The 13651-nt window shown below is 49.3% G+C and overlaps 2 pseudogenes, besides 1 other annotated feature; one reads left to right on the top strand and one right to left on the bottom strand.

The window, feature by feature from the left end:
• LOC100420547 (GTF2I repeat domain containing 1 pseudogene) overlaps window positions 1-1302 on the bottom strand; it is a 34118-nt pseudogene extending 32816 nt beyond the window's left edge.
• LOC346329 (G protein subunit alpha 11 pseudogene) lies at window positions 6421-8291 on the top strand (annotated as a pseudogene).
• Window positions 9461-9960: an enhancer, noted in NCBI's record as "H3K4me1 hESC enhancer chr7:65967883-65968382 (GRCh37/hg19 assembly coordinates)". NCBI's record gives its function as "activates a minimal SCP1, AML or CMV promoter by ChIP-STARR-seq in primed H9 embryonic stem cells {active_cell/tissue: H9 hESC(primed)}" and the evidence as "EXISTENCE:reporter gene assay evidence [ECO:0000049][PMID:30033119]".

The following is a 13651-nucleotide window of genomic DNA, read 5'->3' as shown; positions in this document are numbered from 1 at the left end:
CTCTACTAAAAATGCAAAAAAATTAGCCAGGCGTGGTGGTGGGCACCTGTAATCCCAGCTACTCAGGAGGTTGAGGCAGGAGAACTGCTTGAACCCAGGAGGCGGAGGTTACAGTGAGCTGAGATCGCACCACTGCACTCCAGCCTGGGCGACAGAGTGAGGCTCCATCTCAAAAAATTTAAGAGATGGGTCTCTCTATGTTGCCCAGGCTGATCTTGAACTCCCGGCCTCAAGTAATCCCCTTGTCTTGGCTTCCCAAACTGTTGGGATTATAGGCATGAGCCACCTTAGCCTGCCTATTTTACTTATTTGATTACTATTTATCTATCTCTTCACAGGAGGATGTGCACCCCAGGAGGTGGGGACTTCTGCTTGGTTCACTGCTTTGTCTCCAGCCCCTTACACAGGACCTGGTACACAATAGATGCTCAATAAATAGTTGTTGGATAAATGGACAAATTAATCACAACAGGTGGCTCCTGGGAAGCATGCTGGGCCTTGTTAGAAATAGGGCCTATGGTAGGGCGTGGTGGCTCACGCCTGCAATCCCAGCACTTTGGGAGGCCAAGGCAGGTGGATTACCTGAGGTCAGGAGTTCGAGACCAGCCTGACCAACATGGCGAAAGCCTGTCTCTACTAAAAATACAAAATTAGCCAGGCGTGGTGGCACGTGCCTGTAATGTGTGCCTGTAGTGTGTGCCTGTCAGTGTAGATTCTCAGGAGGCTGAGGCAGGAGGATCACTAGAGCCCAAGAGTTGGAGGCTGCAGTGAGCTGTGATCGCACCACTGCACTCCAGCCTGGGCAACAGAGGGAGACCTTATCTCAAAAAAAAAAAATGGCCGGGTACAGTGGCTCATGTCTATAATCCCAGCACTTTGGGAGGCCGAGGCAGGTGGATCACCAGAGGTCAGGAGTTTGAGACCAGCCTGGCCAACATGGTGAGGCTGAGGCAGGAGAATTGCTTGAACTCAGGAGGTGGAGGTTGTAATGAGCCGAGATCGCGCCAAGGTCTTTAAATAAATAAATAGAGCCTACTTGAGGCTTCCAAAAGGAACCCAGCCTTGGATTGGGGTCAGGCATATATTGGGTTTCCTATACTAGAGGCGGTCAAAATCAAGAAAAGCCTGAGGCCTGCCTGGCCCCCCGCTTTCCGTTTGCTCCCTGGGGAGATGAGTCCCAAGCACCACCATCCCAGGTCCATTTCTTATCTGTCAGCATCTCCATCCCATAACGAGAATCCTCCGATGGCAGGTGCCCAGGCATCGAGTCTGTCATTTCCTCAGAGGTTAGCGAGGGGTCTGAAGACAAAACTCCAAATGACATGGGTGTCTTCTGCCTGTCATACTCCTGTCACAGTCCCTCAGGGCCCACCCAGCCCACTCTCCCCACAGGCAAGGGTCTTTTTCTTTCTTTTTTTTTTTTGTTCGAGATGGAGTCTCACACTGTCGCCCAAGCTGGAGTGCAGTGGCGCCATCTCGGCTCATTGTAACCTCTGCCTCCCAGGTTCAAGCGATTCTCCTGCCTCAGCCTCCCGAGTAGCTGGGATTACAGACGTGAGCCACCACGCCTGGCTAATTTTTGTATTTTTAGTAGAGACAGGGTTTCACCATGTTGGTCAGGCTGGTCTCAAACTCCTGAACTCAGGTGATCCACCTGCCTCAGACTCCCAAAGGGCTGGGATTACAAGTGTAAGCCACCGCTCCTGGCCTTTATTTTCTTTTCCTTTTTTATTTTTTTTTTTAGACGAAGTCTCATTCTGTCATCCAGGCTGGAGTGCAGAGGCATGATCTCAGCTCACTGCAAGCTCTGCCTCCCAAGTTCATGCCATTCTCCTGCCTCAGCCTCCTGAGTAGCTGAGACTACAGACACCCGCCACCATGCCCGGCTATTTTTTGTATTTTTAGTAGAGATGGGGTTTCACCATGCTGGCCAAGATGGTCTCAATCTCTTGACCTCGTAATCCACCCGCCTTGGCCTCCCAAAGTGCTGGGATTACAGGTGTGAGCCACCGCACCTGGCCTATTTTCTTTTAATGAGAACCTCAGCCAGGCGCAGTGGCTCAGCCCTGTTATCCCAACCCTTTGGGAGGCCGAGGCAGGAGGATCACTTGAGGCCAGGAGTTCACAACCATCCTGGACAACATAGTGAGACCTCCGTCTCTGTTAAAAAAAAAAAAAAAAGAGGGGACCTCATTAAAGGTATACAGCAAATGAAACTATGATATGATATATTTTGGCTTTGTAAATCAATGTTTTCACATACTGGTTTTGTTAGATTTATTTTTCCATCAGTGAAAACATTTTTTGAACACAAATTCCTTTTCCAATTAAACAATTTGTAAGTAAAGTTTATTCAAATGTATGTTAAAACATTTAATGTTTGTCTTCTGAAGTTTGTCTTTATGTACACCAAGATATTGGTTGTCTTGTTTTAAATGTATCATTGGATATCACATATTCTATTCGTTGTTTAATAAGGGTAATGCCCATCTAGGAATGAAGAGTTTTTTAAAATCAAAAACAAGAAGACAAGTGACAAACTCCATGTGGCAGATAAAAGGTTAATGAGCTTCACATATAAAGAACTTCTTCAAATAAATTAAAAAAAAAAAATTTAGGCTGGGAGCGTTGGCTCACGCCTGTAATCCCAGCACTTTGGGAGGCCAAGGTGGGCGGATCATGAGGTCAGGAGATTGAGACCATCCTGGCTAACATGGTGAAACCCCATCTCTACTAAAAATACAAAAAATTAGCCGGGCATGGTGGCGGGTGCCTGTAGTCCCAGCTACTCGGGAGGCTGAGGCAGGAGAATGGTGTGAACCCGGGAGGCAGAGCTTGCAGTGAGCTGAGATCTCCCCATTGCACTCCAGCCTAGGTGACAAAGCGAGACTCCATCTCAAAAAAAAAAAAAAAAGAAAAAGAAAAAGAAAAAACATTTAAAACATTAAATAATGCACCAAGGACATGAACGAACAATTCACCATTTAGACATACAAAGGGCCAACAAGGGATGACAAATATTCATCTTCATTAGTAATAACTGTCATTTGAGATTTGTGAAGTTGTCAAAAATGAAAAATTTAGTTTTGGGTTTTGTTTTTTTTTTTTTTTTTTTTTGAAATGAGGTCTCCCTGTTTTGCGTTGCCCGGGCTGGTCTCAAACTCCTGAGCTCAAACAATCCTCCCACCTTGGTCTCCCAAAATGCTGGGATTATAGGTGTGAGCCACCACATGGGGCCAAGATAAAAATTTAGGATTGTATTTTATGCCTATGAGTGTACAGAAAAATGTACCTCCCTGATAAGCAAAAATTGTAACATTTCCAGGGAGCAATTCAGTACAATGTGTCACAAGCCTTAAAAATCTTTTTAGGCTGGGAGCAGTGGTGGCTCATGCCTGTAATCCCAGCACTTTGGGAGGCTGAGGCAGGAGGACCACTTGAGCTCAGGAGTTCAAGACCAGCCTGGGCAATATAGTGAGACCTCATCTCTACAGAAAGTTTAAAAAAATATTATTTGGGCATGGTGGTACACACCTGTAGTTTCAGCTACTCAGGAGGCTGAGGTTGGAGGATTGCTTGCACAGCCCAGAAGATTGAAGCTACAGTGAGCTTTGGTCACACCACTGCACTCCAGTCTGAGTGACAGAGTGACTCTGCCTCAAAAAAAAAAAGAAAGAAAAAAGAAAAAAAATTTACTTTTTGGCACACTAACTCCACTTCTAGACATCTATCCTAAGATAATAATCAACATATAAAAATGCACATACAAATATTGACTATAAGAATAAAAAAATTTCAGCATTTAAGCTGTACAGGTGAATGTTTAAATTATGGTACACCCATTTGTGTTATTTATTTTAAAAAATTTTTTTGAAGTATAACTATGTAGAAAACTGTCCTAGCATAATGTTAAGCATCGTTCCCAATGTGTTTTAAAATCTGATGCAAAGCAAACAGAAGGCAGGCAATTGGGAAGGAAGGATGGGGGAAAGAAAGAAAGGAACAATGAAAAGGAGGAAAAGGAAGGAAGAGAAAGAAAGAAAGAAAAGAGAGAAAGAAAGAAAAAAGAAAGAAAAGAAAGGAGGAAGGAAGGAAGAAACATAGGGAAGAGGGAGGAAGGAAGGGAGGGAGGCAGAGAGGGAGGGAGGGAAGAAAGAAAAAGAAGAAAGGAAGGAAAAAGGAAAGGAAAAAGAAAAATGAAAGGAAGCAGAGAAGGTAGGAAGGAGAGAAAAGGAAAGAAATAGGAAAGTAGGGAGGGAGGGAGGAAGGAAGGAAAGAAAAGAGAAAATGGGAAAAAAGACAGCAAAATCTTAACAGTAGTTACTATTGGATTTGAAGGTTACAGGTGCTTTTAATTTTCCTTTTTAATATTTTCTAAATTTGCTATAGGGGTAGAATCACCCCCTCTTGGCAGGTTCTGAGACTTGTCCCTCTTTAATATAATAATGAGTTGGGCCGGATGCAGTGGCCCATGCCTGTAATCCTAGAACTCTGGGAGGCTGAGGCAGGTGGATCACAAGGTCAGGAGATCGAGACTATCCTGGCTAACACGGTGAAACCCCATCTCTACTAAAAATACAAAAAAAAAACATTAGCCAGGCGTGGTGGGATGCGCCTGTAGTCCCAGCTACTCGGGAGGCTGAGGTAGAAGAATCGCTGAAACCTGAGAGGTGGAGGTTGCAGTGAGCCGGGATTGCACCACTGCACTCCAGCCTGGGTGACAGAGCCAGACTCCATCTCAAAATAAATAAATAAATAAATAAATAAATAAATAAATAAAATGTGAGTTCTCTGCGGGGTACGTGTCTGGTTACATTTCCTCTGTAGAACTGCACATCTGCAGAATGCTTTCACTGCCAGAGAAAATTGCTTGCTCCCTTAATGAAAAGTCAATAAAGCTGAAAGAAATCTACTTCTTGGATTTGGGGTGGAAGCCAGAAGACTGGTAAGCATTCTTAAATGCCAGGGAAACTCACCCGGGCACTGAGAGGGGATGGTTGTCAGGATGGACCTGAAATTCTCATGACATTTGCTGTGGGGGCCGTGGGCAGGGCCTCTAGTCACTGTCTCCTGATTTGAAAAGTTAGAGGGGTGAATGAATGCACAGGACCATGATTTCAAGTGGAAATGTCATCACTTTGAAAATAATAGCAACTCATCCTGAACTCCCTACCTTGTCTGTGTGAATGTAGATGAATCCATCAGTGGGGGACTGGGCTAGATGCACTTCCTTTCACACCACATTAATTCTGTGCCCTAAGGCCAGGCACAGTGGCTCACACCTGTAATCCCAGCACTTTGGGAGGCTAAGGCAGGAGGATGGCTGGAAGCCCAGGAGTTTGAGACCAGCCTGGGCAACATAGTGAGATCCCATCTCTACAAAAAATAAAATGAAAATAAAGTTCTATGCCCTAAATATATGTCCAGCTCAGGCTACATATCTATAGTGCTGGTGAGCCTGCAAGAACACACAGGTTCTGGACCTTGCTTTCAGTTTATTTACAATTCAGTGGAAATGGAAAAATATGAAAAGTTGCCAAGCACAGTGGCATGTGCATGTCATCGCAGCTCCTGAGGGGGCTGATACAGGAGGATTGCTTGAGCCTGAGAGTTTGAATCCAGCCTGGGCAACATAGTGAGACTCCCTCTCTTAAAAAAACAGAAAAAGGGGCCAGGTGTGGTGGCTCATGCCTGTAATCCCAGCACTTTGGGAGGCTGTGGTGGGCGGATCACCTGAGGTCAGGAGTTCAAGACAAGCCTGGCCAACATGGCGAAACCCCCTGTCTACTAAAAATACAAAAAAATTAGCCTGGCATGGTGGCATGCGCCTGTAATCCCAGCTACTCGAGAGACTGAGGTAGGAGAATTGCTTGAACCCGGGAGGGAGAGGTTGCAGTGTGTCGAGATCACACCACTGCACTCCAGCCTGGAGGACAGAGTGAGACTCCTCTCCGGGGGCTGGGGAAATGCAACTTTTGGCAGGCATGGTGACTCATGCCTGTAATCACAGCTTTTTGGGAGGCTGAGGCGGGCAGATCACTTGAGGTCAGGACTTCGAGACCAGCCTTGCCAACACGGTGAAACCCAGTTTCTAATAAAAATCCTAAAATTAGGCCAGGTGCAGTGGCTCACGCCTGTAACCCCAGCACTTTGGGAGGCCGAGGCGGGCGGATCACGAGGTCAGGAGATCGAGACCATCCTGGCTAACAAGGTGAAACGCTGTCTCTCCTAAACATACAAAAAAATTAGCCAGGTGTGGTGGCAGGCGGCTGTAATCCCAGTTACTTGGGAGGCTGAGGCAGGAGAATCGCTGGAACCCAGGAGGCAGAGATTGCAGTAAGCCGAGATCGCGCCACTGCACTCCAGCCTTTTTTTGAGACTCCGTCTCAAAAAAAGCAAAAAACAACAAAAAAACCCAACTCGGGTGCTGTCGCTCGGCTGCAGTGGCTGCGGTTGGCGGTGGCTGCGGCGGCCACCTCGAGCTCTCATGCATCCGCCGAGGCGGGGCGGGGCGGGCCGGCCGGGGGCCAAGGGCCCGGGGCTGAAGCCTGAGGGCCGAGGCGGGCGGCGACCGAGGCGGCTTCGGCCAAAGTCGGGCCGGGGGCCGGTGGGTGGCGGCCGTGGCCGGGACGATGACTCTGGAGTCCATGATGGCGTGTTGCCTGAGCGATAAGGTGAAGGAGTCCAAGCGGATCAACGCCGAGATCCAGAAGCAGCTGCGGGGGACAAGCGCGACGCCCGGCGCCAGCTCAAGCTGCTGCTGCTCCTCACGGGCGAGAGCGGGAAGAGCACCTTCATCAAGCAGATGCGCATCATCCATGGCGCCGGGTACTAGGAGGAGGACAAAAGGGGCTTCACCAAGCTCGTCTACCAGAACATTTTCACCGCCATGCAGGCCATGATCCGGGCCATGGAGACGCTGAAGATCCTCTACAAGTTGGAGCAGAACAAGGCCAATGCGCTCCAGATCCGAGAGGTGGACGTGGAGAAGGTGACCACCTTTGAGCATCGGTACGTCAGCGCCATCAAGACCCTGTGGGACGACCCCGGCATCCACGAGTGCTACGACCGCAGGCGCGAGTACCAGCTCTCGGACTCGGCCAAGTACTGCGTGACCGACGTAGACTGCATCGCCACCTCGAGCTACCTGCCCACCCAGCAGGACGTGCTGCGGGTCCGCGTGCCCACCACCGGCGTCTTTCGACCTGGAGAACATCATCTTCAGGATGGCGGATGTTGGGGGACAGCGGTCGGCGCAGAGGAAGTGGATCCACTGCTTTGAGAACCTGACGTCCATCCCGTTTCTCGTCGCCCTCAGTGAATACGACCAAGTCCTGGTGGAGTCGGACAACGAGAACCGGATGGAGGAGAGCAAAGCCCTGTTCCGGACCATCATCGACTACCCCTGGTTCCAGAACTCCCCCGTCATCACCTTCCTCAACAAGAAGGACCTGCTGGAGGACAATATCCTGTACTCACACATGGTGGACTACTTCCCCGAGTTCGAAGGGCCCCAGCAGGACGCCCAGGCGGCGCGGGAGTTCATCCTGAAGATGTTAGTGGACATGAACCCCGACAGCGACAAGATCATCGACTCCCACTTCACGTACGCCACCGACACGAAGAACATCCGCTTCGTGTTCGCGGCCGTGAAGGACACCATCCTGCAGCTCAGCCTCAAGGAGTACAACCTGGTCTGAAAGCGCCCAGGCCCAGGGAGACGGGACGGAGACAAGGGCCGGGACAAACCTTCCTTCACACCCAACCCGCGGCTGCCGGCCAGGCAGCGCTGCTGAGCCCGGGCGGGGCCTCTGCCCGCGGAGGATTTTTTTTTTTTTTTAATATTTTTAACAAATGGTTTTTATTTCACAGTTATCAGGGGATGTATATCTGTCTGCACACTTCGCGCACCTTCTCACCTTTTGTCAACGTCAAAGGGAGTCTTTTTCTGGCCTTGACTTACGGTTCGCTTTTTTCTAAAAAAAAAAAAAAAGAAAAAAAGGAAAAAGAAAAAACCCAACGAAACCTAAAACACACGTGCGCCCCGTGTCCCCAGCGACTCTGGGCCTCACAGAGCCCCTTGCCAGCCAGCATGGGGGTCCCCACCCCGCAGCCTCCCGTGACTGTCCTTCCAACACCACATACTTTTTCTTTCTCTTCCCCGCTTCTTTTCTTCTTCAACACGAAACGCATGGAGACTCGGGAACTGATATTTTCCCCCCTTTTTAAAGTTATTGACGCCCAGTGCGCCTCTCCTCTTCACAACTCAATGCTGTGTTTTGCCCACTGGACTCCTGAAGAGGGGGTGGGGCACTCCCTCAGTCGCCCACCCTGGGAAGTGCCTAAACTTTTTTTTTTTTAAGTAAAAAGAACGCCTCACTGCACAGGTTCAAGAAATGCCCAGGGTCCTGTCTTATGGCCGGGTACCCCGTCCCTCTGCAGAGGCTGGGAAGGGCCCCTGGGCTGGAGTTACAGGGGCTCGAGGCTCCTCTGGGCTGTGCCTCCAGGGGCAACACTGGCAGCTTGGGGCTGCCGGGGGGCTCCAGAGGGCTGCACAGCCACCCTGTCCCGGCTGGAGTGTACCCCACTGGAGCTCACGTGGGCTTAGCTGCTGGAGGGACGGTCCCCCAGTAACACCGAGAGAAAGGCCACTTGGATGGGGGCATTTCTTTTCGTTTTGTTCTGCTTTGTGTTGTCCCCAATTTGGAAACAGTGAGGGTGGGGTGGGGACTTTTACAGAATATTCTCAGGTGTGTACCTGAGAGGTAGAGAGAGGGACATGGCAGGCAGCTCCGTGCATGGCCTTGTCCCATGCACTTGTGCCGCCCCCGAGGAGCGGGAAGCCAGCACTTGCACTTGGGCCAGGGGCGCATGGAAGGTGGTGGCAGGCACTGGCCCTGGCAGCTTCCAGGCCTGGCTGGCCATGGCCATGGTCTGATGGGGAGCCCGCCAGGCCACGGCTGCACACTGAGCCACAGCCCCAGGGACTGCCTCCCGGGACCCCTTTAGGCACTGAGGTACCCAGACTGGTTCTCCCCGAAAGACTCGGAAGGTGGGGAACGAGGGGACTCTTTTTGGGGTGGTGGCTTTTTCGTCTGCTGTTGACTGAACACTGTGGCGCTCTGTGGGTCTGGGCTTCTCATAGCTGTCCCGGGGATGGATCACCCGTGCTGCCCTCGCCTGCTGCCATTCCGGGACCCCGCACGGCTGCTTCTGGCCTTGACAGATTACAAAAGAAATAGCCCCCAAATAAGACCACCCGGATCAGCAGTTCCCAGCTGCCACTGTCAGGCCTGCCCCGGACTCCTCGTGCACAGGGGCTGTCTGCTGGCTTCTGGGGGGAGAAGAGGGGGACCCCCGTGGAGGGGGCAGGGGAGACGCATGCTGGTCAGGGCAGGTACATTTCTGGTGATCAGCCCCACTGGGAAACGGGGCAGTGCCCCCCCTCCCCTCGCTTCCCCATGCCACTTTTCCTCTTTTGTCTCTCCTGGAAGCGTCCTTTTTTTGTGCCAAGTGTCTACTTAAGACGGTCGGTACCAGAAGCCCCCCATGGTGAGTGCTGGGGCCCGGAGGTGCCCTGGGGGAGCACATGGTGCCACCCCTGGCGGGGCTGGTGCATCCATTGCTGGCAGCGGACCCCTCTAGGGGGCCTGGGCTTGTGGCATCTCTGAGGGCCCAGATCGCACAAGGGGACCCGAACCCGGCTGGAGGATGGAATCGCCTAGCATGGAAGCTGGGGCGCTGCCGGGCTAAGTATTAGCCCTTCCAGGGGAGGGGGCCGTGCCAAGCATCCCAGAGCCAGGCTGAGGCCACCAAACCATCTTGGCCTGGGTCCTCTGGGTCTGACTGCCTGATCCCTTGACCCCTCAAAAAAGCAGAGGTGGGTGTTGCAGGCCCGGGGCAGGGGTGCCTGTCCCAGTAGAGTCCCAGGCAGTGGTTCTCGTGCCAGTGACACCCTCATGTCAGGGAAGGGGCAGCTGACCCCCATCCTTATCATGTGTGGGGCCACGTGTGGGGTGTGTGTTTTTACCTTGGTGAATCTCACCTGCCAATGCTTTCTCGTTACCGCCGACCACCTTCTCTGACCATGTCATGCCCAGGCAGCAGCAGCCCCTGGCCATCGCAAGAGCCACACCCTGGGTCCCCCCGGCTCCCATAGAAGAGCATTCCTGTGCCAATGTCCCCCAGTGGTGGCAGCAGATCCTGCGGCTGGCCTGGCAGACAGGATCCAGTGATAGTTATATATTACACTGTCCTGATTTCAGACAATTTCAACCTTATTTAAGAAAGAATATTCTATACCATGCTGTTTTTACACCTTTTACCATTTGAAATGCATGTGTCGTGCATGTTGGGGGATGGGAGGGGCTGAGGAGTGACTCATTGTCAATTCCCATGGCCACTGGCCTTGACCCTTAATCCAGACACCGATGGAAGTTGACTTTTCATATCTTTCTCCTGAAATGAACTGTTTTAAATTGGAACATATTTTGTTAAAAAAAAAGACCCCCAAACCCCAAAAACAAAAACGAAAAACAAAATACCCACTAATAGATCCCTCTACAGAGTCACCAAAAATCCTAAAGCTGAAAGCACTAACAATGCCAAAGATTAGGAGGATGTGGTGTAACAGAAATTCATACAGCTCTAATGGGAGTTTACATTGGTGTACCCACTTTGGAAAACTGTTTGGTAGTGTGTGGTGGTGTTGGTAACACACTCAGATCTCCCTATTTTATTTTTTTGAGGCAGAGTCCCACTCTGTCGCCCAGGCTGGAATGTAGTGGTGTGATCTCGGCTCACTGCAACCTCTGCTTCCTGGGCTCAAGTGATTCTCCTGCCTCAGCCTCCCGAGTAGGTGGGATTAAAGGTGCCCACCACCACGCCTGGCTAATTTTGTATTTTTAGTACTTATGAGATTTTACCATGTTGTCCAGGGCGGTCTCAAACTTCTGAGCCCAGGCAATCCGCTCACCTCGCCTCCCAAAGTGCTAGGATTACAGGCGTGAGCCACTGCGCCCAGCCAGTTCACTCTTTAGTAAAATTTTTATAGCAATTTCTCATTCCATAGTGATTTCAGTCACTCTCAACAAATTCACTTATAGTTATCAGTATTTGAACTTTTGCAGGTGTTGTCATAGATAAGAAATTTGGCCAAATGGACTCTTGATTATTGCAGTAGAAATTCTGCTCAAATTAGGTAACAGGCATTTGAAGTTTTAAAATTATGCAAACTGTGTTCCAAAAATTTCACTTCTAGGGATTTAAGAAACAGTCATGATTGTACAAATAAATGTGCTGTAGGGATGTTCATTTAAAAAAATGTATAAAACAGGGAAAACCTGTAAACAACCTAAGTGTCCTATAATAGAATTCATTAAATAAGTTATGATACATACATATGATGAAATGTATGCAACCATTAAAAAATGTTATGAGGGGCTAAGTACGGTGGCTCATGCCTGTAATCCCAGCACTTTGGGAGGCCGAGGTGGGTGATCACTTGAGGTCAAGAGTCTGAGACTAGCCTAGTCAACATGGTGAAACCCTGTCTCTACTAAAAATACAAAAAAATTAGCTTGGCTGGGCATGGTGGCTCACGCCTGTAATCCCAGCACTTTGGGAGGCCGAGGCAGGTGGATCACAAGGTCAGGAGATCAAGACCATACTGGCTAACGCGGTGAAATCCTGTCTCTACTAAAAAATAGAAAAAATTAGCTGGGCGTGGTGGCAGGTGCCTGTAGTCCCAGCTACTCGGGAGGCTGAGGCAGGAGAATGGGGTGAACCCAGGAGGCGGAGCTTGCCATGAGCCGAGATTGCGCCACTGCACTCCAGCCTGGCTGACAGAGTGAGACTCCGTCTCAAAAAAAAAAAAAAAAAAAAAATTAGCTCGGCTTGGTGGCTCATGCTTGTAATCCCAGCTACTAGGGAGGCTGAGGCAGGAGAATCACTTCAACCCATGAGGCAGAGGTTGCAGTGAGCAGAGATCGCACCATTGCACTCTAGCCTGGGTGACAAGAATGAAGTTCCGTCTCAATAAAAAAAAAAAAAGGAAAGAATATTTGACATGAAAGGTATTTTTTATAATACATACATTAAGTGAAAGAGCAGATTACACCACAGTACATATAGTGTATTTATATTTTGAGAAAATATATATTTTGAATATTGGAATTATATACATCCAACTAGTAATGTTATCCATTGATTCATGGAATTACAAGTGACTGTTTTTTCTGCTTGTCCCTATTTTCCAATTTTTCTACAGTGACTGTACTTGCAATAATTAAACATAGTATGGTCATTTAAAATATGTCCCCAAATTCTCTGATACTCTCTTCAAAAGGCGGAGCCCAGTTCCTATCTCTTTTAGTGTGGGCTGGGTTACGTGATTCCCTTCTGACAGATAGGAAAAAGCAAAAGTGATGGCTTGCAACTTTGCAAGCTACATCATAAAAGGTACTATGGCTTCCTCCTTGCTCACTCTTTGATTACTCACTTGGGAAAGCCAGCTGTCACACCATGACACCTAAGCAGCCTGTAGGGAGGCTCATGTGACAGGAACTGAGGCCTCCGGTCAGCAGTCACATGAGTGAGCCATCTTGGAAACAGGCTTTAGGTGACTGCAGTCTCAGAGGACAGCTTGACTGCAATGTCACGAGACACCCTGAGCCCAGATGACCCAGCTATGCCACTCCTGAATTCCTGACTCACAGAAATGGAGTTCCTAAGTAAATATTTTATTTATTTATTTATTTATTTATTTTTGAGACAGAGTCTCACTCTGTCACCCAGGCTGGAGTGTGGTGGTGTGATCTTGGCTCACTGTAACCTCTCCCTCCCTGGCTCAAGTGATTCTCCCACATCAGCCTCCTAAGTAGCTGGGACCACAGGTGTGCACCATCACACCTGGCTAATGTTTGCATTTTCTGTAGAGATGGAGTCTCACTATGTTGCCCACGTTGATCTTAAACTGCTGGACGCAAGTGATCTTCCCACCTCGGCCTCTCAAAGTGTTGGGATTACAGGCATGAGCCACTGTGCCTGGTCCTAAGTATTTATTTTCAGCCACTAGGTCTGGAGTAATTTGTTACATAGCAGCAGATAAATAATACACGTATTTTCTATAGCGATCATATTTATAATTTAAATTGAATTAAAAAGGTTGGGAGCAGTGGCTCATGCCTGTAATCCTAGCACTTTAGGAGGCTGAGGCTGGAAGATCGCTTGAGCCCATGAGTTTGAGACCAGCCTGGGCAATATGGCAAAACACTTTCTCTACAAAATACAAAAAAAAATTAGCTGGGTGTGGGCCGGGTGCGGTGGCTCATGCCTGTAATCCCAGTACTTCGGGAGGCTGAGGCCGGCGGATCACGAGGTCAGGAGATCAAGACCATTTTGGCTTTAATAGATGGTGAAACCTCGTCTCTATTAAAAATACAAAAAATTTAGCCAGACGTGGTGGCAGGCGCCTGTAGTCCCAGCTACTCAGGAGGTGGAGGCAGGAGAATGGCATGAACCCAGGAGGCAGAGCTTGCAGTGAGCCGAGATCGCGCCACTACACTCCAGCCTGGGCAACAGAGTGAGACTCTATCTCAAAAAACAAAATAAACAAACAAAAATTAGCTGGGTGTGGTGGCGGCGTGCACCT

Source organism: Homo sapiens, chromosome 7 (genome assembly GCF_000001405.40).
Source record: "Homo sapiens chromosome 7, GRCh38.p14 Primary Assembly".
NCBI classification, from domain to species: Eukaryota; Metazoa; Chordata; class Mammalia; order Primates; family Hominidae; genus Homo; species Homo sapiens.
The sequence above is the reverse complement of the archived record's forward strand: the minus strand, read 5'-3'. Positions and strand labels throughout refer to the sequence as shown.